The 21,999-nt window shown below is 51.3% G+C and overlaps 1 protein-coding gene across 12 annotated transcripts in view, besides 6 other annotated features; it reads left to right on the top strand.

Moving 5' to 3' along the window:
* The window catches only part of RAP1GAP2 (RAP1 GTPase activating protein 2), a 282,097-nt gene that overhangs the window by 109,554 nt on the left and 150,544 nt on the right, over nucleotides 1-21,999 (top strand). The window lies entirely within an intron of this gene.
* Nucleotides 6,870-7,625: an enhancer, noted in NCBI's record as "OCT4-NANOG-H3K27ac-H3K4me1 hESC enhancer chr17:2775362-2776117 (GRCh37/hg19 assembly coordinates)". NCBI's record gives its function as "activates a minimal SCP1, AML or CMV promoter by ChIP-STARR-seq in naive and primed H9 embryonic stem cells {active_cell/tissue: H9 hESC(naive and primed)}" and the evidence as "EXISTENCE:reporter gene assay evidence [ECO:0000049][PMID:30033119]".
* Nucleotides 8,381-9,136: an enhancer, noted in NCBI's record as "OCT4-NANOG-H3K27ac-H3K4me1 hESC enhancer chr17:2776873-2777628 (GRCh37/hg19 assembly coordinates)". NCBI's record gives its function as "activates a minimal SCP1, AML or CMV promoter by ChIP-STARR-seq in naive H9 embryonic stem cells {active_cell/tissue: H9 hESC(naive)}" and the evidence as "EXISTENCE:reporter gene assay evidence [ECO:0000049][PMID:30033119]".
* Nucleotides 10,649-11,403: an enhancer, noted in NCBI's record as "H3K27ac-H3K4me1 hESC enhancer chr17:2779141-2779895 (GRCh37/hg19 assembly coordinates)". NCBI's record gives its function as "activates a minimal SCP1, AML or CMV promoter by ChIP-STARR-seq in primed H9 embryonic stem cells {active_cell/tissue: H9 hESC(primed)}" and the evidence as "EXISTENCE:reporter gene assay evidence [ECO:0000049][PMID:30033119]".
* Nucleotides 14,435-15,352: an enhancer, noted in NCBI's record as "H3K27ac-H3K4me1 hESC enhancer chr17:2782927-2783844 (GRCh37/hg19 assembly coordinates)". NCBI's record gives its function as "activates a minimal SCP1, AML or CMV promoter by ChIP-STARR-seq in naive H9 embryonic stem cells {active_cell/tissue: H9 hESC(naive)}" and the evidence as "EXISTENCE:reporter gene assay evidence [ECO:0000049][PMID:30033119]".
* Nucleotides 18,147-18,808: an enhancer, noted in NCBI's record as "H3K27ac-H3K4me1 hESC enhancer chr17:2786639-2787300 (GRCh37/hg19 assembly coordinates)". NCBI's record gives its function as "activates a minimal SCP1, AML or CMV promoter by ChIP-STARR-seq in naive H9 embryonic stem cells {active_cell/tissue: H9 hESC(naive)}" and the evidence as "EXISTENCE:reporter gene assay evidence [ECO:0000049][PMID:30033119]".
* Nucleotides 19,729-20,482: an enhancer, noted in NCBI's record as "H3K27ac-H3K4me1 hESC enhancer chr17:2788221-2788974 (GRCh37/hg19 assembly coordinates)". NCBI's record gives its function as "activates a minimal SCP1, AML or CMV promoter by ChIP-STARR-seq in primed H9 embryonic stem cells {active_cell/tissue: H9 hESC(primed)}" and the evidence as "EXISTENCE:reporter gene assay evidence [ECO:0000049][PMID:30033119]".

Below are 21,999 nucleotides of genomic sequence, written 5' to 3' on the forward strand. Positions count from 1 at the left end.
GTAGATTGAAGTGCAGCTCAGAGAGACCAGGTGTCCTGGTCAAGACTCCAAAACTCTGTTTTGGGTCTCCTGTTAAGGAGTTAAGAACTCTGGCACCCTAGAACATTCTGGTTGTTTTTAAAGGAAGGGATCAGATGGGTCTCTGGAACAGCTGGGCTTCTTTTGAATGCTTAGCCTGAGCTAAGGGGAGGGTGGAGCCTAGAGCAGGGAAAGGTCTGTCCTGTCAGGTGTCAGATAAGCTGAAAGGTCTCCTGGCTGCTGGCCTCACTAATGAGAACAGAAATTCTCACTTCTCGATATGAACTGGAAGGTCCCGGCTGCAGCCTGGGTTACCTGTGCCATCTGTATTTTAATAGAACGTCTATTTTAATAAGATCTTTGAGATGCACAGACAGAAACAGCATGTAAATCAATAGGTCACTGAAACAGGCCATCTGAAAACGAGATCTGCAAATGTGCCAGGAAGGGCTTTTGAGAGTGACAGCAATAAATGCCCCTTGTGGATGGCCAGAAGGTCCCCCAAGGGTATGGCCACATGGAGGCAGGACTCAGCCGTGGTGCAAGTGATGGGAACCGAGATGCCTGGCTTCCACATTGCAGCTCCTCTGACCCCCAGCCCCCTTCTAGAAAGGGCTGCCAGCCCTCTTGGTGGCATCTGCCCCTCTCTTTCCCCTCCATGAATGCAAATGCAAGCTGCAGTCCCTCCTTAAATGGATTGTGTCCCAAACGTTCATTCACTCATTCAGTTCACCTCCATCAATATGCGGGTGCCCTCCCTGCCTCCAGCAGCCCATGCTCCTGAAGCAGAGATCAACCATGGAATGTGAATCCAAGACAGAAGAGGGAGGTGTGGAGAAGAGGTGCAGGGAGCCCTGGAGGTCAGAAGAAAGGGGGACCGCCCAAGGAAGGCTGCCTGGAGTTGGTGGCATTTGAAGTGGGCCTCGGGGACTGGACAGGATGTCTGAAGGGAGAGATGGAGTGGGAAGCACATCCCCAAAGGAGACAGTGGAAGACAAGGGGCCAAGATAAAAAAACAGGGGCCCGCTCAGATCCCACCTTGGCTGTGGTGTGGATTCCCTGCTGGGGAACGTGGGAGATGAGGCTGTTAGGGCGGCCTGGGGCCATTTCGTGTTAGGTGTTGAATGCTGGGGAAAGAAGGGCAGGTCAGGCTGTGGGAGGCTTCCCTGCTCCCCGCCTCCCCTAGACTCAGGGCAGTTGGTACCCCAGTTAGAATACAAAAACAGAGTCAGTCAGTGTTATACATGAAACAATTCTGTAACATTTGTGTTATTGTGATTTTTATTAAATAGAGGTTTGGGGCCCAAGGGCCTTTGTGTTGGTGAGGCAGTAGATAATACCCCCAAATGTCCCTTCTGATTGGTAATTTATTTTATTTATTTATTTTATTTTATTATTTTTTGAGGCAGCATCTCCCTCTGTCGCCAGGCTGGAGTGCAGTGGTGCGATCTCGGCTCACTGCAGCCTCCGCCTCCCGGGTTCAAGCGATTCTCCTGTCTCAGCCTCCCGAGTAGCTGGGATTACAGGTGTCCGCCACCAGGTCCGGCTAATTTTTATGTTTTTAGTAGAGATGGGGTTTCACCACGTTGGCCGGGCTGGTCTCGAACTCCTGGCCTCAAGCGATCTGCCTGTCTTGGCCTCCCAAAGTGCTGGGATTACAGGTGTGAGCCACTGCACTCGGCCTATTTTATTTTTTATTTTAGAGATGGAGTCTCACTCTGTCACCCAGGCTGGAGTGCAGTGGTACAATCTCGGCTCACTGCAACCTCCACCTCTCAGGTTCGAATGATTCTTCTGCCTCATTCTCCCAAGTAGCTGGGATTACAGGTGCCCACTGTCATGTCTAGCTAATTTTTGTATTTGTAGTAGAGACGGGGTTTCACCATGTTGGCCAGGCTGGTCTCGAACTCCTGGTGTCGTGATTCCCCTCACCTTGGCCTCCCAAAGTGCTGGGATTACAGGTGTGAGCCACCGTGCCTGGCCTCTGATTGGTCATTTAGCTGATTTAGTCAAGAAACTTTTGGTTTGAAGTGGCAAGCCCCAATTCAAATTAATGTAAAGAAAAAATGAAGCTTTGGGGTTTAGGTAACTGGAAGGTTCAAGGGGGACGGATTCAGGCCTGGCTGGATCGAGAGCTCCAGTGGGGTCTTTGGACACTGGTTCTTTCACCCCGTCTCTAGGCTGTGCCTTCCTTTGGGTTGCCTTCGTCCTCAGGTACCTTATCCACGAAGATGGACGATGGCTGCCCTGGGCTGACCTTCTACCCACTTAGCAATACCAACAGGAAGAGCAAATCTGTTTCCCAATCATTTCAGCAGATGTCCCAGGGATGGCTCACCCTGGACAGAAAGTGAGTCACATACGCATCCCTGAACTTTGGCCAGAGGGGTGGGATACACTGATTCATGAAGTCTAGGTCTTACGCCCACCGCTGGTTCCCGGGATGCAGGGACTTGGCTGGGAGTATAGGAGGGATGGGTCACCTAAGGAAACCTGGCATGTTGCTCTCAGAAGCTCAGGGGATGGAAGCTGGGCAGTAAAAATGCCAACAGCTGTCCACTCTGCTGGCCCTAGTGGCTTAGTTGATGCTGATCTTGGCACGGTCTTGTCAACTTGGCTGGTGGCTGCAGCTGCTGGTACCCTCCCAGACGCAAGGAGGCTTCCTTCTGCCTTGGCTGGATGAGGTGTGCTTTCTTCTTCACGGATGCAGCTCGCGGGATCCCCAAGCCTTTGGTAGTAAACACACTTCCTGGGCTGTCTTTTCTCTGAGTCCATTCTGAACATCAAAGCATTCAGCCTGTGACCGCGCTGGACCTGGTCTGAGAGGACAGCCTGGCTTTGCTCGGGGTTGGCTCTCGGCTCTGGGATTGGATAATGTGTCCCCTTCCTGTTTTGCTTATGCTTTGTGGCACCCAGCTGCCCTCCACCCCAGCAGGTCCGGATTCCTTGAATACAGATTGCCCCTCCTTCCAGACGTCTGGCCAGTGGATGCTTTTGGTTACGAGGCCCTGGCTGAGAGAAGGGCTGGCTCTCTGCTATCCATCCCCCTGGTGGAGGGCCAGGCCCAGAGGAAGTCTCAGAGGTCTTAGAGATAGGCACCTCTAGATGGCAAAAACACGACTGCAGAAGGGCAGAGGAGCGGCCTCAGGAAAAACCCAGGGGGATATATGATCTTGAACGTACATGGTGTCGAAACTGCGGCCCTTGGCTTTCCCATGTGTGAAATGCGACTAAGACTAATGAAAGTCTTTTATGTGTGTAGGCAAAAATCTTATTTAGCAATTCCTCTACCAGGTGCAATTTTTTTTTTTTTTTTTTTGAGATGGAGTCTTGCTCTGTCACCCAGGCTGGAGTGCAGTGGCACGATCTCAGCTCAGTGCAAGCTCCACCTCCCAGGTTCAAGCTATTCTCTTGCCTCAGCCTCTCGAGTAGCTGGGATTACAGGCATGTGCCACTACGCCTGTCTAATTTCTGTATTTTTTAGTAGAGACAGGGTCTCACCATGTTGGCCAGGCTGGTCTCGAACTCCTGACCTCAGGTGATCTGCCTGCCTTGGCCTCCCAAAATTCTGGGATTACAGGTGTGAGCCACTGTGCCCGGCCAGAACAGATAGTGTTTAATTCCACTTTGTCTGTGTCTGTTTGAGCTGCTATCACAAAATACCATAGACTGAGTGGCTTAAACCAACATTTACTTCTCCCACTTCTGGAAGCTGGAAAGTCCAAGTTCAGGGTACTGGCAGATGGGGTGTCTCATGAGGGCTCAAATCCTGCATCACAGACAACCGTCTTCTCGCCATGTTCTCACATAGCGAAGGGGCAAGGGAGCTCTCAGGGGCCTCTTTTCCAAGGCACTGATTCCATTCATGAGGGCTTCACTCCTCCTGACCCAATCACCTCCCAAAGGCCCCTCTTCCTCATACCACGGCAGTGTTAGTTAGGATTTCAACACAGAAATTTTAAGGGGTGCACAAATATAGTCTATAGTCTATCTACTCTTATAGTGTATAGTATGCTTATATGAGGCACCTAGAATAGGCAAATTCCTAGGGGCAGAAAGTAGAATAGAGGTTGCCAGGTGTTGGAGGGAAAGAGAATTTTTGTTGAATGTGTACAAAGTTCCTGTTCGGGATGATGATAAAGTTCTGGAAATGGACAATGGGGTTAGTTGTACAACGATGTAAATGCCACTGAATTGCAAACTTAAAAAGGGGTAAAATGATGAAAAAAAAAAAACCTAAACAAACTTTATGCAAAACCTTAATATGTACAATAGAAAAAGCGTTCCTCTGGTTGAAGATGGGGTGGGCTGGCTGGTGGTTCTCGCCTGGTCTCTGTGAATGCTCAGCTGAGTTGGGAACCAAAGTGCCTTGGGGACTCCAGGGAAGCAGCAGCCCTCCCTTCCCCAACAGCCCACGTTCTGAAGTTGAAGGTCCCTCAGGGCTCTGTCCTGCCCAAGCTCACACCCCCACTGAGGGTCACGTGTTGCTGGGGAAGGTCAGGTCCCGGGAGCAGGTGCGGGCAGCGCTGGGCCACCTTCTGCGAGCTCCCTTCTCATCCTGACATTTCCCTTTCCTGCAGTCTTGGGCTCATGGCCAGCCGTCAGCCAGCACCCTGTGGCGCTCTCCTAGGAGGCTGATCTGGTGAGCGGGGACGTATAGGGGGTCAGCAAGTGGCCCAGGTGGAACGTGGCTCCGGGCCACGTGAGTGGAGGGCTTGAGTTTTGTGACCACAATGTGGATGCCCTCTGTGACCTGCTGGCCTGCTTTGAGATGGGCAGCAGCTACTCCAGGGTGCGTTGACCTGCAGAGCAGGCCTCAGGGGTGGGAATCTGTATGGCCCCTGACCCCGGCATGGCCTCAGAACCTTCCTCAGAGTGCACTCTGTGCTGCTGCTTGACAATCTTTTTTTTTTTTTTTGGAGATGGAGTCTCGCACTGTCACCCGGGCTGGAATGCAATGGTGCAATCTCGGCTCACTGTAACCTCCCTCCCAAGTTCAAGTGATTCTCCTTGCCTTAGCCTCCCGAGTAGCTGGGATTACAGGCGCCCACCACCACACCTGGCTAATTTTTTTGTATTTTTAGTAAATACGGGGTTTTACTATGTTGGCCAGGCTGGTCTCAAACTCTTGACCTCGTGATCTGCCTGCCTCGTCCTCCCAAAGTGCTGGGATTACAGGCATGAGCCACCGTGCCCTGCCTGACAATCTGGTTTTTGAAAGAAATGTTTATTATATTTTAAAAATCCTTGTTCCTTGCAGAAAATTTGGAAAACACAGAAAAGCACAAGGATTAAAATAAAAATCACCTTCAGTCCCACAAGGGAGACTGTAGAGATATTAACGTTTAATATTTTTTTTGTGGTCTTTTTTTTCTATGCAAAAGCACACCCTTTCACGTAATATACTTACATCTGCATCTACGTCTGTTTCTCTGTATTGTAACAAAGGCGGGATTATACTTTAGGTACAGTACATTAGTCAAGACCCTTGGTGGCAAGTGACAGAGGCCCATCTTGAATTAGCCAAACAAAATAAGGGGGTTTATTGGCTGGGGTAACCCATCTGTGGAAAGGGTTGGGCCTCAGAAACAGCTGGATCCAGGGGCATTGGCAGAACTCCTCTCTGTCTCGTCACTGTGTCTCTTTGTGTTGGCTTCATTCTCTTGGGCCATCTGTCTCCATGATGTTGGATCCATGGTTGTAGATCCTTGTGGGCTAAACGTTTCATTTTATTTTATTATTACTATTATTCTTTTGAGACAGAGTTTCACTCTTGTCACCCAGGCTGGAGTGCAGTGGTGCGATCTTGGCTTACTGCAACCTCCGCCTCCTGGGTTCAAGTGATTCTCCTGCCTCTGCTTCCCAAGTAGCTGGAATTCCAGGCATGCGCCGCCACACCTGGCTAATTTTTGTATTTTTAATAGAGACGAGGTTTCACCATGTTGGCCAGGCTGGTCTTGAACTCCTGACCTCAGGTGATCCACCCACCTCGGCCTCCCACAGTGCTGGGATTACAGGCATGAGCCACTGCGCCCAGCCAAGGGCTAAACATTTTAATGGCTGAATTTCCCCCAGAGAGGAAGGAAAGCTCCTTTCCAACAGCTCTGGTTAGATACATTCCAGGGAGGAGTTCTGATTGGCCTGGATTGTGTGTCCATCTCAGTCCCTATGTGCAGGGGTGGGAGCGGGGAGCCATGATTGGCCCAGGGAGAGTCAGGGGCGCACTCTGGTCAGAGTGGTGTTGTGTTACAAGAGTCCTGTCCAGCGGGAGAGGGGCAGTTCCCTAAAGCAGAGGTGGGGAGCTTCATTACAGAGGAGGGAGAGGCAACAGCGGTAGGGCCAGCAAACACCATAGACAAAAGCTGCTTTGGAGTTGGTGCCAGCCACGGGGGTGCCAGCACGGCGTGTTGGGTGAGCACGTGGACCCTCACCTTCATGCTGATTTCATTGGGGTTCAATTGGTACCATCCCATGGGCAGTACAGTTTGGCAGTAGCTGTCTCCATTATCCATGCTATCCTCCTTGACCCAGTGAGCCACCTCTGGGGATCTGTCAGATGTGCATCTTTCCACACACGTGGAATGACGTAGAATGAGGTCATTCACGGCAATATTATTTGAAATAGCAAAACACTGGAAACAACCAAATCCCTATTCATAGTGAACTGGCTGCCTAAATTATTTCACATTCATACCATGGACTAACTACTTAAAATAGAATGATGAGGCCAGGCGTGGTGGCTCACGCCTGGAATCTCAGCGCTTTTGGAGGCTGAGGTGGGTGAATCACCTGAGGCCAGGAATTCGAGACCAGACTAGCCAACATGGTCTCTACTAAAAATACAAAAATTAGCTGGGTGTGGTGATGCACGCCTGTAATCCCAGCTACTCGGGAGGCTGAGGCAGGAGAATCGCTTGAACCCAGAAGGTGGAGGTTGCAGTAAGCTGAGATTGCACCATTGCACTCCAGCTTGGATGACAGAATGAGCCTCTGTCTCAAAAAAAAAAAAAAAAAAAAAGGTGAAGCTGTCTGTGTAACTGCATCAGCCTAAAATGAGTGACAGAAAGACGAGTTCTCCAAAACAAAGAGTTTCTTTGGGAATAGCAAGGGGTTGCAATCTGAGGTGTCCATGCTCTGATGGACCATAGGCACATCCGAGGGGAGTGGGACAAGGGGAAGCTTTTAGAGGAAAAAGAAGGTCATATAAGCTGCTTTGAAACAAAGACCGTTGGTTACAGAGGCTTATCTCAGGAGGGGGCTTTTGTTCTTGGTGGTATTGGCTGCTGCTAGGAGAGGGTCTTCACAGAAGTGGCTTAACTGGAAAGTTCCAGCAGGGACAGCCCTTCCCGGCAGTTTCTGTTACCCGCAGTCATGCGCGAGGGCCTTTTCTTCATGGCTTCCTTTTGTTAGGGTTTGATGTAAGCCACTCCGTTTTTGATACTGACAACTTTCACACTTGATGGAAAGTTCTCCCTAGATTTTTTTTTTTACAAAGACAAAGTTTTGTTCTGTCACCCAGGCTAGAGTGCAGTGGTGTGAACACTGCAGCTTTGACCTCCTGGGCTCAAGGGATCCTCCTGCCTCAGCCTCCTCACAGGTGCACACTACCATGCCTGGCAAAGTTTTTGTAGAGACTGGATCCCACTTTGTTGCCCAGGCCTGGTCTCAAACTCTTGGGCTCAAGCGATCCTCCAACCTCAGCCTCCCAAAAGTGGGACTCTAGTAAAAATACAAAAATTAGCTGGGTGCGGTGGTGGGTGTCTGTAATCCCAGCTGCTTGGGAGGCTGAGGCATGAGAATCGCTTGAACCCGAGGGGCGGAGGTTGCAGTGAGCTGAGATTGCGCCACCGCACTCCAGCCTAGGGGACAGACTGAGACTTTGTCTGAAAAAAAAAAAAACGGAAAATAGTACTTCATCTTTGTGTTGTGTTGGCTTGTATTTGCATAAAGAAGCTGCAGTAGGCTGGGTGCAGTGGCTCATGTCTGTAATCCCAGCACTTTGGGAGGCTGAGGTGGGCAGATTGCTTGAGCTCAGGAGTTCGAGACCAGCCTGGGCAACATGGTGAAACCCTATCTCTACCAAAAATACAAAAAAAAAAAAAAAAAAAATTAGCCGGTTGGGGCGGGGCATGCCTGTGGTTCCAGCTACTTGGGAGGCTGAGGTGGGAGGATCGCCTGAGCCCAGGAGGCGGAGGTTGCAATGAGCTGAGATTTTGCCACTGCACTCCAGCCAGGGTAATAGAATGAGACCCTGTCTCAAAAAAAAAAAAAAAAAAAAAAAAAAAAAAAAAAAAAGCAGCAGCAGCTGCAGAAAGGTGTGTAAAGATCATTTCACAGGCTGAATAAGTGGACAGATTGGGACAAGGATAAGACAAAATAGGCCTTCTAATAATTTTGGCGTTTGAGCCCTGCTAATGTATTCCTCATTCAAAACTCAACAGACCAGTTTCCTTTTGGGGTGATGAAAAAGTTATGGAATTAGTGGTGGTGGTTACATAACATCGTGAATGTACTTAATGCTACTGAATTGTATACTTTATTATTTATTTATTTATTTATTTTTGAGATGGAGTTCCAGTCTTGTTGCTCAGGCTGGAGTGCAGTGGCGCGATCTCAGCTCACTGCAACCTCCGCCTCCTGGGTACAAGTGATTCTCCTGCCTCAGCCTCCCGAGTAGCTGGGATTACAGGCATGCGCCACCACGCCTGGCTAATTCTGTATTTTTGGTAGAGACGCGGTGGGGGGGGGCGGGTTTCACCATGTTGGCCAGGCTGGTCTTGAACTCCCGACCTCAGGTGATCCACCCGTCTCAGCCTCCCAAAGTGCTGGGATTACAGGCATGAGCCACTGCACCTGGCCTGGCTTTCTCATTTTCTAGCTCTCTGACTGTGGACAAGTTACCTGATTTCTCAAAGAATCAGTTTCTCATTTGTAAAGTGTGGATAATAAAAGAGTCTGTATTCTGCAGATTAAATAAGAGGCATAAGATTGAGCTCTGTGCCTGGGGAACAATGGGTACACCCTCCCTCCCCTTTCTCCCCTCTGCCAACTGGACATTTGCATTTAAATGGGGACTCTTGAAGACTAAAAACACTCTAAACTCCAAGGGAGGAATGGTTGGAATTTCAGAAAAATTCATAGCTCTTATCTAGGGTAAGGTCTGGGTCTTTTCCTGTGGAGAGTTAAGCTTTTAGGTCCTCCTCACCTGAGGCCCCGGGCTGACGGAGGCATTGGAAGCTTGTAAAAGTCAGGGCTGAGATGACCTATCTACAAAGAGCATTTCTGGCACCCTCATTTCAAGCAGGTATTCAGTGTATGTGCATAAGAATGACGTGGAGAGGAAAGGAGAAAGAGGTGGAAAAGGGGGAGGGAGAAAGGACCCGATCAAGGTCAACAGCCTGAACCAGTCAGAGGCCTCAGCCTGGGGCTGGATTCTGGAGGAAATGAGACGGTAGGTGCTACATCACCCATGGAAACAAAGGAGCAGCCACCCAGCCAGGAAAAGCCCCAAACCCTTGAAACCCCACGTTTAGCTTGCGAGCTCTCTGCTCTCCTGTATAGCAGAAGTTCTTGAAGTTCTGCCTCTGCTTCTCACCAATGCCCAGCAGCCACTCTGGTTCTGGACCCGGTGGTCACCCTCTGCCCTCAGTTTGGCATCCCTCACACAGCCTCATACTCGCTTCTCAAAAGGCTGTCTCCATTTTGCTCATGACTGTCGACCTAGAGAAAGAAACAGAGAGAAAATTAATATAGAGAGTTTGCTCGGGCCAAAGTTGAGGACAGCTGCCAGGGACGCTTCAAAATTACCTTGGGGACGGCGCCCTTCGACATTTGTTAAAAGCAAGTTTTTGTTTTGTTTTGTTTCTTGAGATGTAGCCTTGCTCTTGACGCCCAGGCTAGAGTGCAATGGTGCGATCTCGGCTCACTGCAACCCCTGCCTCCCGGGTTCAAGCAATTCTCCTGCCTCAGTCTCCGGAGTAGCTGAGATTACAGGCGTGCACCACCACGCCTGGTGAATTTTTGTGTTTTTAGTAGAGATGGGATCTTGCCATGTTGGCCAGGCTGGTCTCGAACTCCTGACCTCAGGTGGTCTGCCTGCCTCGGCCTCCCAAAGTGCTGGGATTACAGGCATGAGCCACTGCACCCGGCCACAAGCAGGTTTGTAAAGGCAAAGGGGACAGGGAGTGGGGTGATATGAAGTTGTTGGATGGGCATTCTAACTGGTTACAGGGGTAACATTGGCTGTGCGTTGTTGAGCTCTAGGGTCTGAGTGATGGCGTCCAGTGTATGGCTATGTGGCATCAGTTAGTTTAGGGCTCATGTAGCAAGTGGCTTCAAGAAGTGATTACTTAGCTCATGGAGCGGGTGAGAGGGACCGCTGTTGCTTTTCAGTGCCTCTCTGGGCCTGACCGTGACAGGAGGATTGCATTTCTCAGATTCAACATTGCCTTTTTTTCTCACGACAGTGAATGTCTTGTCCTCCTGGTTTCCCTCCGTCTCGCCGCCTGTCTGTCTCATCCTCCTCCTCTGCTGGCCTTCCACCTGCTGTCGTGCCTGGGCCCCTTCCTCTTCTCTGTCTCCCTTGGTGATCTCCGCTTGGACATCCGATAGTTCTTCCAAGCTGAACGTGTCCCAACTCCAGGTCTTCATTCTTGCCCCGCCAAAGTCATCCTTCCTGTAGCCTTCCCCAGCTTGACTTCTCTGCATTGTTTTTTGTTTGTTTGTTTGTTTTTTTTTTTGAGATGGAATCTGGCTCTGTCGCCCAGGCTGGAGTGCAATGATGCGATCTCGGCTCACCACAATCTCCGCCCCCCGGGTTCACGCCATTCTCCTGCCTCAGCCTCCCGAGTGGCTGGGACTACAGGCACCCGCCCCCACGCCCGGCTAATTTTTTGTATTTTTAGTAGAGACGGGGTTTCACCGTGTTAGCCAGGATGGTCTTGATCTCCTGACCTTGTGAGCTGCCTGCCTCGGCCTCTCAAAGTGCTGGGATTACAGGCATGAGCCACCGCGCCTGGCTACATTGTTTTTATAGATGAAAAGAGTCCAACTCTGTAAAATATTCGAAGAGATTTATTCTGAGCCAAATAAGAGTGACCAATGTAGCCCCAGGAGATCCCGAGAACAAGTGCCCAAGGTGGTTGGGCTACAGGTGGTTTTATACATTTTAGGGAGACGTGAGACATCAGTCCATCCATGTAAGATGTCCATTGGTTTGGTCTGGAAGGTTAGGACAACCAGAATCGGGGGTTTTGGAGGGTCCATAGGTGGATTCAAAGATTTTCTGATTGGCAGTTCATTGAGTGAGTTTATCTAAAGACCTGGAATCCATAGAAAGGAATGTCAGGGTTAAGATAAGCAGCCGTGGAGACCAAGGTTTCATCATGCGGGTGACGCCTCCAGGTAGCAGGTTTCCGAGAGATGAGATAGCAAATGTTTCTTATAGACCTGGAGTCTGTTCTATGAGTCTTTAGGTCCCTGTGCTGATGTTGATGCTGGTCAGCTGGGGCTGAATTCCAAAGGCGAGGAGAGCATAAGGAGGCATGTCCGACCACCCCTTCCCATCATGGCCTGAACCAGTTTTTCTGGCTAACTTTGGAATGCCCTTGGCTGAGGGGAAGGGTCATCAGTTGGTTGGGGGCCTTAGAATGTTATTTTTGGTTTACGTTCTTTTTTTTTTTTTTTTTTCTTGAGACGGAGTTTTGCTCTGTTGCCAGGCTGGAGTGCAGTGGCGTGATCTTGGCTCACCGCAACCTCCACCTCCCGGGTTCAAGCGATTCTCCTGCCTCAGCCTCCCGAGTAGCTGGGACTACAGGCATGCGCTGCCACACCCAGCTAATTTTTGTATTTTTAGTAGAGACGGGGTTTCTCCATGTTGCTCAGGCTGGTCTCGAACTCCTGACCTCAGGTGATGCACCCGCCTCAGCCTCCCAAAGTGCTGGAATTACAGGCGTGAGCCACTGTGCCCAGCCTTGGTTTATGTTCTTATTCCCCATGTCCACTTGTCAGCATGCTCTGTTGCTGCCTCCATGATGCATCCAGAGACGGATCATATCTCCCATCTCCACCACGGTCTTTTGAGGCCAGTCCATCATCAGCTGTCACCTGGATTATTGAGGAACCTTTCAGCCAGCCTCCCTGCGGCCATGTTTTTCCCCTTACAGTCCGTCCTCCGTAAGGCAGCCAGAGTGATCCTGTGAAACTGTGGGACACATCACATCTCTGCTCTGCTCACAAATCTCCCTGCCTGGCCGGGTGTGGTGGCTCACACCTGTAATCCCAGCACTTTGGGAGGCCAAAGCGCGTGGATCACCTGAGGTCAGGAGTTCAAGACCAGCCTGGCCAACATGGTGAAACCCCATCTCTACTAAAAAAACACAAAAAATTAACTGGGTATGGTGGCGGGCACCTGTAATCCCAGCTATTCAGGAGGCTGAGGCATGAGGATTGCTTGAACCTGGGAGGTGGAGGTTGCAGTGAACTGAGATTGCGCCACTGTACTTCAGCCTGGGTGACAGAGAATTAAATGAATGCCTGAAATTTGGTTTTAGTGAATGAATGCTTGAAATTTGGTTCTCATGGTGAGGGTGACAGGAAGCCATTTCAAGGCCTTAGATAGGGGGCTCATATGATCAGGTTGACATTTTGGAAGGTCCCTGTAGCTCCTGGGGGAGACAGTTTGGGAGTGGGACCAGAGTGGGATCCTGGAGATTGGCTGGGAAGGTGTCAGTGGCTTGGAGATGATGGTGGAGGGGGATTGGGGTGCATTGACTGAGCTGAGAGACGTGTAGGAGGCAGAGTGAAAGGCTTGTTGTTAGAGCTGTGCTTAATACACTTTCATGGACACACGCGTTACCTGGCATCCTCTGGAAATGCAGATGCGTAAAGGTGGGTCTGGGCTGGGTCCTGGAGTCTGCTTTTGGGTGACATTATGTTGCCGGCCGGGGACACACTTAGAGTAGCAAGGGGTTGGGTGTCAGGCATAAGGGAAGGGGAGTCAGGAACACATTGTGCCTTTAATTGCAAGAGAACCTAGGAGGAGGAGCAGGTTGGGGGAAACGATGAGGTCATTTAGGGACACATTGGGTTCGAGGTGCCTGTGAGACCCCCCCGGGGATGTGGCATCTGGAGCTCAGCCCAGGCTGGCGGTGGAAAATGAGGAGTCGTCCTTGGGTTGGTGGGTGCAGCCTTGGTGTGGGTGAGGCTGAGTGGGAGAGGGCATAGGGAGGGTGGTCAGAGCTGCGGAAGCCCCTGTCTGTATGCCGTATCGCTGACTCGAAAGGTGCATCACCTAGGCAAGGGCGTTGGTTAGGTGGTCTAACCACCACCCCTTCCGATCATGGCTTAGGTGGTCTAACCAACACCCTTGATTTAGGGCAGGGGTTTCTCTCGCTGGTTCCTGCTGGTTCATCAGCCTAACTAAGGAAGGGAGCAGGAGCCTCTCCCCTGAAGGAGGCGGCAGCCTGTGGGCCCATGAGGGAAGCCAGCCAACCCTGGCTCTCTGCTTCTGATGCACCTGTCCCAGTGGGCCTGTCCGGAAGCATTTGGGTATCCCTGCTGCCCAGGAGCCCCACGGTGGACTCAGGCAAACCTGGGCCCCAGAGCCCACTTAGCCACTTGGTAGCTGCGTGAGCACGCGCAAGGTGCTGCAGCTTGCTGGGCCCCGGTTTTCTCATCCGTGTGATGGGGTAATAATAGTGCCCTCTTCCCGTGACGGTTGTGACGATCAGTGAGATGGGGTGTGTGACATGCTGAGCCCGGAGGCCGGCGCTGGCCAGTGCTCAGTGAGGTTCTGTTATCTCTGGAGGGTGTGGCAAGGTCAGGATGGACACTGGCCTTGCCTCCTCCTTCCTGCCCTACCCACTGCATGCACCTGGCTTGGCCCCACCTCCAAGCCCTTCTTTTTTTTTTTTTTTGAGACAGAGTCTTGCTCTTGTCACTCAGGGTGGAGTGCAGTGGCGTGATCTCAGCTCACTGCAACCTCTGCCTCCCCGGTTCAAGTGATTTTCCTGCCTCGGCCTCCCAAGTATCTAGTTTTACAGGCACCCGCCACCATAACTGGCTAATTTTTGTAAACTTAGTAGAGCTGGGGTTTCACCATGTTGGCCAGGCTGGTTTCGAACTACTGACCTCAAGTGATCCACCCGCCTCGGCCTCCCCAAGTGTTGGGATTACAGGCGTGAGCCACTGCGCCCGGCCACAAAGCCCTTCTTACATTGAAAGTCCCTTGGCTGGGCGTGGCAGCTCATGCCTGTCATCGCAGCACTTTGAGAGGCCAAGGCGGGCAGATCACGAGATCAGGAGTTCAAGACCAGCCTGGCCAGCATGGTGAAACCCCGTCTCTACTAAAAATACAAAAAATAGCTGGGTATGGTGGTCGGCGCCTGTAATCCCAGCTACTCAGGAGGCTGAGACAGGAGAATTGTTTGAACCCGGGAGGCAGAGGTTGCAGTGAGCTGAGATCGCACCATGGCACTCCAGCCTGGGCGACAGGGCGAGACTCCATCTCAAAAAAAAAAAAAAGAAAGTCCCTGCTTCCTGTTGGGTCCTCCTCCTTGCCTTGAGCCCTCTCCCTCCATTCAGATCCATCCCCACTGATGTCTCCTGCTCGTCTCTTGTCCATTACTTTTTTCCTCCTGAGCCCTACTGTAATGCTTGGAGAGTTTGGGGGGCTGGTGAGGGCAGGATCATCTGCTGTCTGTTCATGTCTCCCAAGAGACCGCAGGGTCCTTCAGGCTGGGTGGGTGCTGAATATCCAATGGGGACCAGGTAGGCCTGATTCCTGCCCTCCTGGAGCTCACCGTCCAGCGGGAAGGACAGGCATCAGACTGATCGTGACAACTGAGGGGCTGGGAGCAGGGGGCTGGGAGCAGGGTGCCGTGGTGGCAGAGAGCACGGGGACTGATGGATGACATCGGAAGGGAGGGACATTCAGGCAGAGACCTGGAGGATGATTAGGATACAGGAAGACGAAGGCTTGGGGGGGATGGGAGTGTGGGTGAGAGAAGGGTCTAGACAGAGGGAGTAGTGTGAGTGGGAGGGCTCATCACAGGAACCCACAGGCTGTGTAGACCGGTTGGGGCAGGTGTGGAGAGGAAGTGAGAGGGGTGGGAGATGAGGCTGGGTGGGGCCGTTGGGACAAGGGGGTGCGGAGAGTTGGGTTTGAGCCACATGGTCATGGGAGCCATGGAAGGAGGACAGAATAATCCACCTCACATTTATTTTTCACCTTCTTCTTTTTTTTTTTTTTTTATTGTGGTAAAATACACATCACACACAGTGTCTCACTTGAATCATTTTAAAGTATACGGTTCCGTGGCATCAAGTCCTGTTCACAGTGTTTTGGGATCCTCACTACCATTCTCCAGACCATGTTCATCATCCAGATGGAAACTGTATCCATTAGCCGTCACTCCCACCCCCGCCTCCCCCATCCCGAAGCAACTACCATCTACTTTCTGTCTCTATGGATTTGCCTCTTCTGAGCATTTCATAATGCAGGTTGGGTGTGTCTTATCTGACATGCTTGGGACCAGATTTCATATTTTTTTTGGATTTTGCTGTATTTCCATTGTACTTAGTGGTTCAACATCCCTACTCTGAAAATTCAAAATCTGAAATGTGCCGAGGTCAGGCACGGTGGCTCACGCCTGGAATCCCAGCACTTTGGGAGGCCGAGGCGGGTGGATCATTTGAGGTCAGGAGTTCGAGACCAGCCTGTCCAACATGGTGAAGCCCCATCTCTACTAAAAATACAAAAATTAGCCATGTGTGGTGATACATGTCTGTAACCCAGCACTTTGGGAGGCCGAGGCAGGTGGCTCATTTGTGGTCAGGAGTTCAAGACCAGCCTGGCCAACATGGTGAAGCCCCATCTCTACTAAAAATGCAAAAATTAGCTGGGCATGGTGGTGCACGCCTGTAATCCCAGCTACTCGGGAGGCTGAGGCAGGAGGATTGCTTGAACCTGGGAGGCAGAGGCTGGAGTGAGCCGAGATCGTGCCACTGCACTCCAGCCTGGGGGACAGAGTGAGACTCTGCCTCAAAAAAAAAAAAAAGAAAAAATGTGCCAGTGAGCATTTCCTTTGAGCACCATGTTGGCACTGAAAAAGTTTAGGATTTGGGAGCATTTTGGATTTCAGCTTTTTGGATTTGGGATGCTCAGTGTGTAGATGGAATCACACAGTAGGTGGTGGTCTGTGTGTGGCTTCTTCCACTTAGCCAGCATTCATCCACATTGTAGCACGAATCCGTAACGGCACTTCATTCCTTTTCAGGGTTGAATAATGTTCCTTTGTGTTGGTGTGCCACGTTTTGTTTATCCACTCATTCGTTCATGGACATTTGTGTTTCTTTCACCTGTGATCATTGTGAATAGTGTTGCTATGAACACTTGTGTACATGTTTTTGTTTGGAAATGTTTTCTGGAGTGGAATTGCTGGGTCATATGGTAATTGTTTGTGTAACTTTTTGAGGAGCGTCCACACTTTTCAACAATGGGCTACAGTTTCTCTGCATTCTTGATAACGTTTATTGTTATCTGTTTTTTTGCTTTTTTCTTTTTTTCTCGATGATGGCCATCCTAGTGGGTGTGATCTGCTTTTTTTTATTTGTTTGTTTTTGAGACGGAGTCTCGCTATGTCGCCCAAGCTGGAGTGCAGTGGCGCAATCTCGGCTCACTGCAACCTCTGTCTCCCGGGTTCACGCCATTCTCCTGCCTCAGCCTCCCGAGTAGCTGGGACTACAGGTGCCTGCCACCACGCCTGGCTAATTTTTTGTATTTTTAGTAGAGGTGGGGTTTCACTGTGTTAGCCAGGATGGCCTCGATCTCCTGACCTCGTGATCCACTTGCCTCAGTTTCTCAAAGTGCTGGGATTACAGGCATGAGCCACTGTGCCTGGCCTTTTTTTTTTTTTTTTTTTAATTTTGAGATGTAGTCTCACTCTTTTGCCCAGGCTAGAGTGCAGTGGTGCGTTCTTGGCTCACTGCAGCCTCCACCTCCTGGGTTCAAGCAATTCTCCTGCCTCAGCCTCCTGAGTAGCTGGGATTACAGGTGTGCACCACCACGCCCAGCTAATTTTTTTTTTTTTTTGGCATAGAGTCTTACTCTTGTCCCCCAGGGTGGAGTGCAGTGGCACAATCTCAACTCACTGCAGCCTCCACCTCCCAGGTTCAAGTGATTCTCCTGCCTTGGCCTCCCAAGTAGCTGGGGTTACAGGCACGCGCCACCACGCCCGGCTAATTTTTGCATTTTTAGTAGAGACGGGGTTTCGCCACGTTGGCCAGGCTGGTCTCCATCTCTTGACGTCATGATCCACCCACCCTGGCCTCCCAAAGTGCTGGGATTACAGGCATGCGCCACCACGCCTGGCTAATTTTTGCATTTTTAGTAGAGATGGGGTTTCGCCACGTTGGCCAGGATGGTTGATTGGCTTTTCATTTCAGCATGGTCCCTGTGTCTCCTTCCTGGAGAATGGGTTGCTCAGTGCAGTGGCTGGAGATGGGCTGGGATGCGGGTGCCGTTGTCTAGGTGAGAGATCATGCTTCGGGGTGGAGTGATGGAACAGTTAGGGAGGTGGCGAGGACTTTGTGATACCATGGAGGCCACGGGTGAGGGAAGTAGGGACTCAAACGTGACTGATTCGTGTCATGTCCCCAGCGGCTAGCGCTATGCTGGCACACCGTCGGTGCTTTACAGATACTCGCGGAATGAATGTCAGATCCCCAAGAAGAAATGGGAACCTGGAAGTTCTTGGTGCTCTTTCTGAAGGCCCCTCCCCTGTGGGCCCCCTGATGGTCCTGGGCTTGGGCAGCCCCTCTTCTGAGGGAGGCTGCGGGGTTGTCTTGGTCGGGGTTATGTGAAGGTGGGGTGGGCAGCAGAGCAGCTTCCAGGGGCTACCTCCATCTTCTCTGTGTTCAAGCTCCACAGCCCCCAGGAGACCACGTGGGTGGTGCTGGGGAGCTGGAGAGGATGGTCTTTTGGGAGGGGCGCATTTGAGGGCTGCACTGTGAGCTCTGAGGGGGCAGCAAAGCCTTTCCTGAGCTCCCCAAGGCTGGTGTGAAAGCACTTTCTGTCTGCAGGTCGGTGTCCCAGCCCAGGGACGCTCCTCCATTCTTGGCATTTCTCTCGGGGTTCTGGGAGGGTCCAGAAAGGCCTCGCCCAGCCTTTGCGGTTCCCTTTCCTCTGGCTTCCACTCCACGTGCTGCCCTGCTCTCGGCACCTTCCCCAGCCGGGCAGCCTTTTAACGGATGGATTTTGGCCTTGATGGAGAGGGAAGCGCCTTCGATCTAAAAGCTTCCAAAAGCTTCTCTCTCCACCCTTCTGTCTTTCCTCTCTCTCTCCCTCATTTTCTCCTCTCCTGTTTTCTTTTTTTTTCCTCACCTGTGTTCTGTAAATCTGTAAAACAAACACACTTTAAAAATGTCACTTGTCTCTTCTATCTGCGGCCTAGAGTGGGGTAAAGCTGTTACCTCCCTTGGGAGTCGGCTTTTGAGCTCTGGGCATGAGTCAGCCCTGTTCCTGATGGCCGCAGGATGATTGGCAGAGAATCCCAGGGTGGCTGCCTCATGGCCTGGGGCCTCGCCAGCTGGGGCTTCAAGGCTGTGACCCAGATAGGGAGGTGGGTGACCCTTTCTGCCTATTCCCTGCTCACCTTCTGGTCCAGGGAGGGACCCAGAATGGACAGGCAGGGGCCTAGGACTTTAGCCAACCTTCGAGCAACAGCAAAAACTCTAGACAGGCCCCTGTGGTTACCCACGTCAGTGTGAACTGTGGGCTCCTGTCAGCCTTCACCTCCGCCTCCTCTCTCTCCAGGGAGAGCAGGTGTGTCCTTTCTGGGCCAGTCGGGAATCTCTTGTTCAGCACTGTTGGAGGTGTGGGGGATGCATGGGGCACAGGGTGTGGTCTCCAGAAACTTCTAGTGTGCATTGCAAGTGAGAAGCATCCTCTTACGCCAGGACTCTGATTGGGCAGGGAATACTCAGCGTACTCAATTCCAGGCTTTGCTATGGGGCTGAGAGAACGCTCGCTGTGGGGTGCAGTGGGGCTGCAGTGGCCCTTTCATTCATTCTTTGCTTCTTCAATCACTCCTTCACTCTGTATGTGAATGGGCGAGACGGGTCGGACACAGCTCTTGGAGTCAGAGTTCTTGAGTTGTTTTTTTTTTTTTTTTTTGAGACAGAATCTCGCTCTGTTGCCCAGGCTGGAGTGCAGTGGTGCAGTCTCGGCTCACTGTAACCTTCGCCTCCCCGGTTCAAGCGATTCTCCTGCCTCAGCCTCCCAAGTAGCTGGGACTACAGGCGTGCACCACTATGCCTGGCTAATATTTGTATTTTTAGTGGAAAAGGGGGTTTCACCATGTTGCCCAGGCTGGTCTCAAACTCCTGACCTCAGGTGATCCGCCTGCCTCGGCCTCCCAAAATCCTGGGATTACAGGTGTGAGCCACTGCGCCCAGCCTAGCGTTCTTGAATTTGAATTCTGTTTCTTCCACTGACTAGCTGTGTTCCTGTTAGCAAGTCATTCAGCCTTTCCCAAGCCTCAGCCGACTCATCTATATATAAGATGAAAACATCACTCCTTGTCCTGATCTTCCTCACGGAACTGTGCTTGGCAGAGGAAGTAATCATACGCGTCACAGCAAATTATGACACAAGTGTAAAGTCTTTCTGCGAACAGATACTTTTTGAGGGCCTTCAGGGTAGGAATGCTGCCCTTGACCCTGTGGGCTACATGGAGATGGTCAAGACAGTCCCTGTCCTCATAGCCGTTACGGCCTGGCAGGCCAAATAGGCACATTTCTTTTATTTCTTTCTTTTTTTTTTTTTTTTTTTTTTTGAGATGGAGTCTCGCTCTGTCGCCCAGGCTGGAGTACAGTGGCACGATCTCGGCTCACTGCAAGCTCCGCCTCCCAGGTTCAAGTGATTCTTCTGCCTCAGCCTCCCCAGTAGTTGGATTACAGGCACCCGCCACCACGCCTGACTAATTTTTTGTATTTCTGGTAGAGATGGGGTTTCCCCATGTTGGCCAGGCTGGTCTCGAACTCCTGACCTCGTGATCCACCCGCCTCGGCCTCCCAAAGTGCTGGGATTACAGGCGTGAGCCACCGCGCCCGGCAGATAGACACACGTCTTGGCAGATCCGGCTGGAAGGTTCTCAGCATGCTTTCTCATGGGGCACTGATGCAACAGAGCCCCTGAGCACCTCAGTTCATCCAGCACATAGTCCCTGCATGTCCACAGGAGCCAGGAGCTGTTCAGAGGCTAGATCGGTGGGCTTGGAGTACGTTGGAGGTGAGCAATGGTGAGGCCCGGCTACCCCCACCAAGTCTCGCAGCTGCAACCAGCTCCTCCAGCAGGAAGAGCCTCTGTGTTCTCTCCCTTTGGCAGCTCCTCGCATCCCACCACGTACACTCAGTTCTGGGTCTAGGGGCTGAAGCAGTGCCTTTTCACTTGGGTGATTTTCTGGCTGGCCTAGGAATGGCCTCTTCCTGTCACCATTTGGTTGAGCCAACTGGGGCAGGGAGAGGATCTGGGAAGGGGAGACAGAGATCCTGAAGAGGGCCCCTTAATTCTCAGTGGCTCCAGCTGCCTGGCGAGGCCACCCTCATGCCTCCTGGGGAGAATATCGCCGTGTCTGTGGATAGTCCCTTCCAGCATTATTGACATTGATGCATCATCTTGTCACTTAGGTGACCAGGGCAGCTGGAAATGATTCGGCAGGAAGGCCGAAATGCCGGCCTTTTCTCAGCCCTGATTCCCTGTGGCAGGTGCTGGGTTTGCCCCCTGGGGCCTCCTGCTCTGGGTTGAGATGTCGCATGAGAAGAGCAGAAGGCAGATGCGGCAGGGCCTTCCCCACACCCCGTCCACTTTACTAGATGCCTCTGGACTCTGAATTTTTTTTCCCAATGAATATGTATTTATGTGTGTGTGTGTGTGTGTGTGTGTGTATATATATATTTTTTTTTTTTTTTTTTTGAGCCGGAGTCTCGCTGTGTCCCCCAGGCTGGAGTGCAGTGGTGCGATCTCAGCTCACTGCAACCTCCGCCTCCCAGATTTAAGCGATTCTTTTGCCTCAGCCTCTCGAGTAGCTGGTACTACAGGCACACGCCACCACGCCCAGCTAATTTTTGTATTTTTAGTAGAGATGAGGTTCCACCACGTTATCCAGGCTGGTCTCGAACTTCTGACCTCAGGTGATCCACCTGTCCTGGCCTCCCAAAGTACTGGGATTACAGGTGTGAGCCACCGTGCCCGGCCATATGTATTTATATTTACAATAAAAATTTAAAAATCAGAAAACAGAATGATAGTCAGTGGTGCCCTTTGTAACAATCCAAGAATGGGTTATTGGTATTTAACAGGATACTTTTGTAGGCATTTAGCGAAGCAAAAATAACTTTCTCTTAGAAAAACATAACGCCTGTCTCAGGCGCTTTCCCACGCAGCTTTGCTTGTGGACTTCAGGTTTGTCTAGGTGGGTGTTTGCACGGCCCTTGAACTACCCATTCCCCAGCAGACGGCTTGATGAATGAGCCCAGTGGCTCAGCACACCAGAGCGGCAGGGGTCGGGGAGTGGGACTGAGGCCGAGGGATCCAAAGCAGCAGTGCAACAGGCAAGTCATCCAGGGATTGCCCCTCCGGGTCCCTCAGAATCCCAGCTGTGCCACTTACTTGCTGCAGGACCTTCCAGAAATCACTTACCGTCTCTGAGCCTCAGTTTCTTCATCTGCAAAATGGGAGAATAATTCTGTATCTACCACATAGGGGTGTTGAAAAGATTAAATGAAATAACGTACATAAAGAGTTTAGTATAGTGCTAAGCAAATATTAGCTGATATGATGATGATGACGAATAATAGTTTTTTTTTTTTTGGAGACAGGATCTCGCTCTGTTGCTCAGGCTGGAGTGCAGTGGCGCATTGCACTCTGCCTCCTAGGTCCAAGCGATTCTAGTGCCTCAGCCTCCCGAGTAGCTGGGACTA

The sequence above is a fragment of the Homo sapiens genome, chromosome 17, assembly GCF_000001405.40.
Source record: "Homo sapiens chromosome 17, GRCh38.p14 Primary Assembly".
Lineage (NCBI taxonomy): Eukaryota > Metazoa > Chordata > Mammalia > Primates > Hominidae > Homo > Homo sapiens.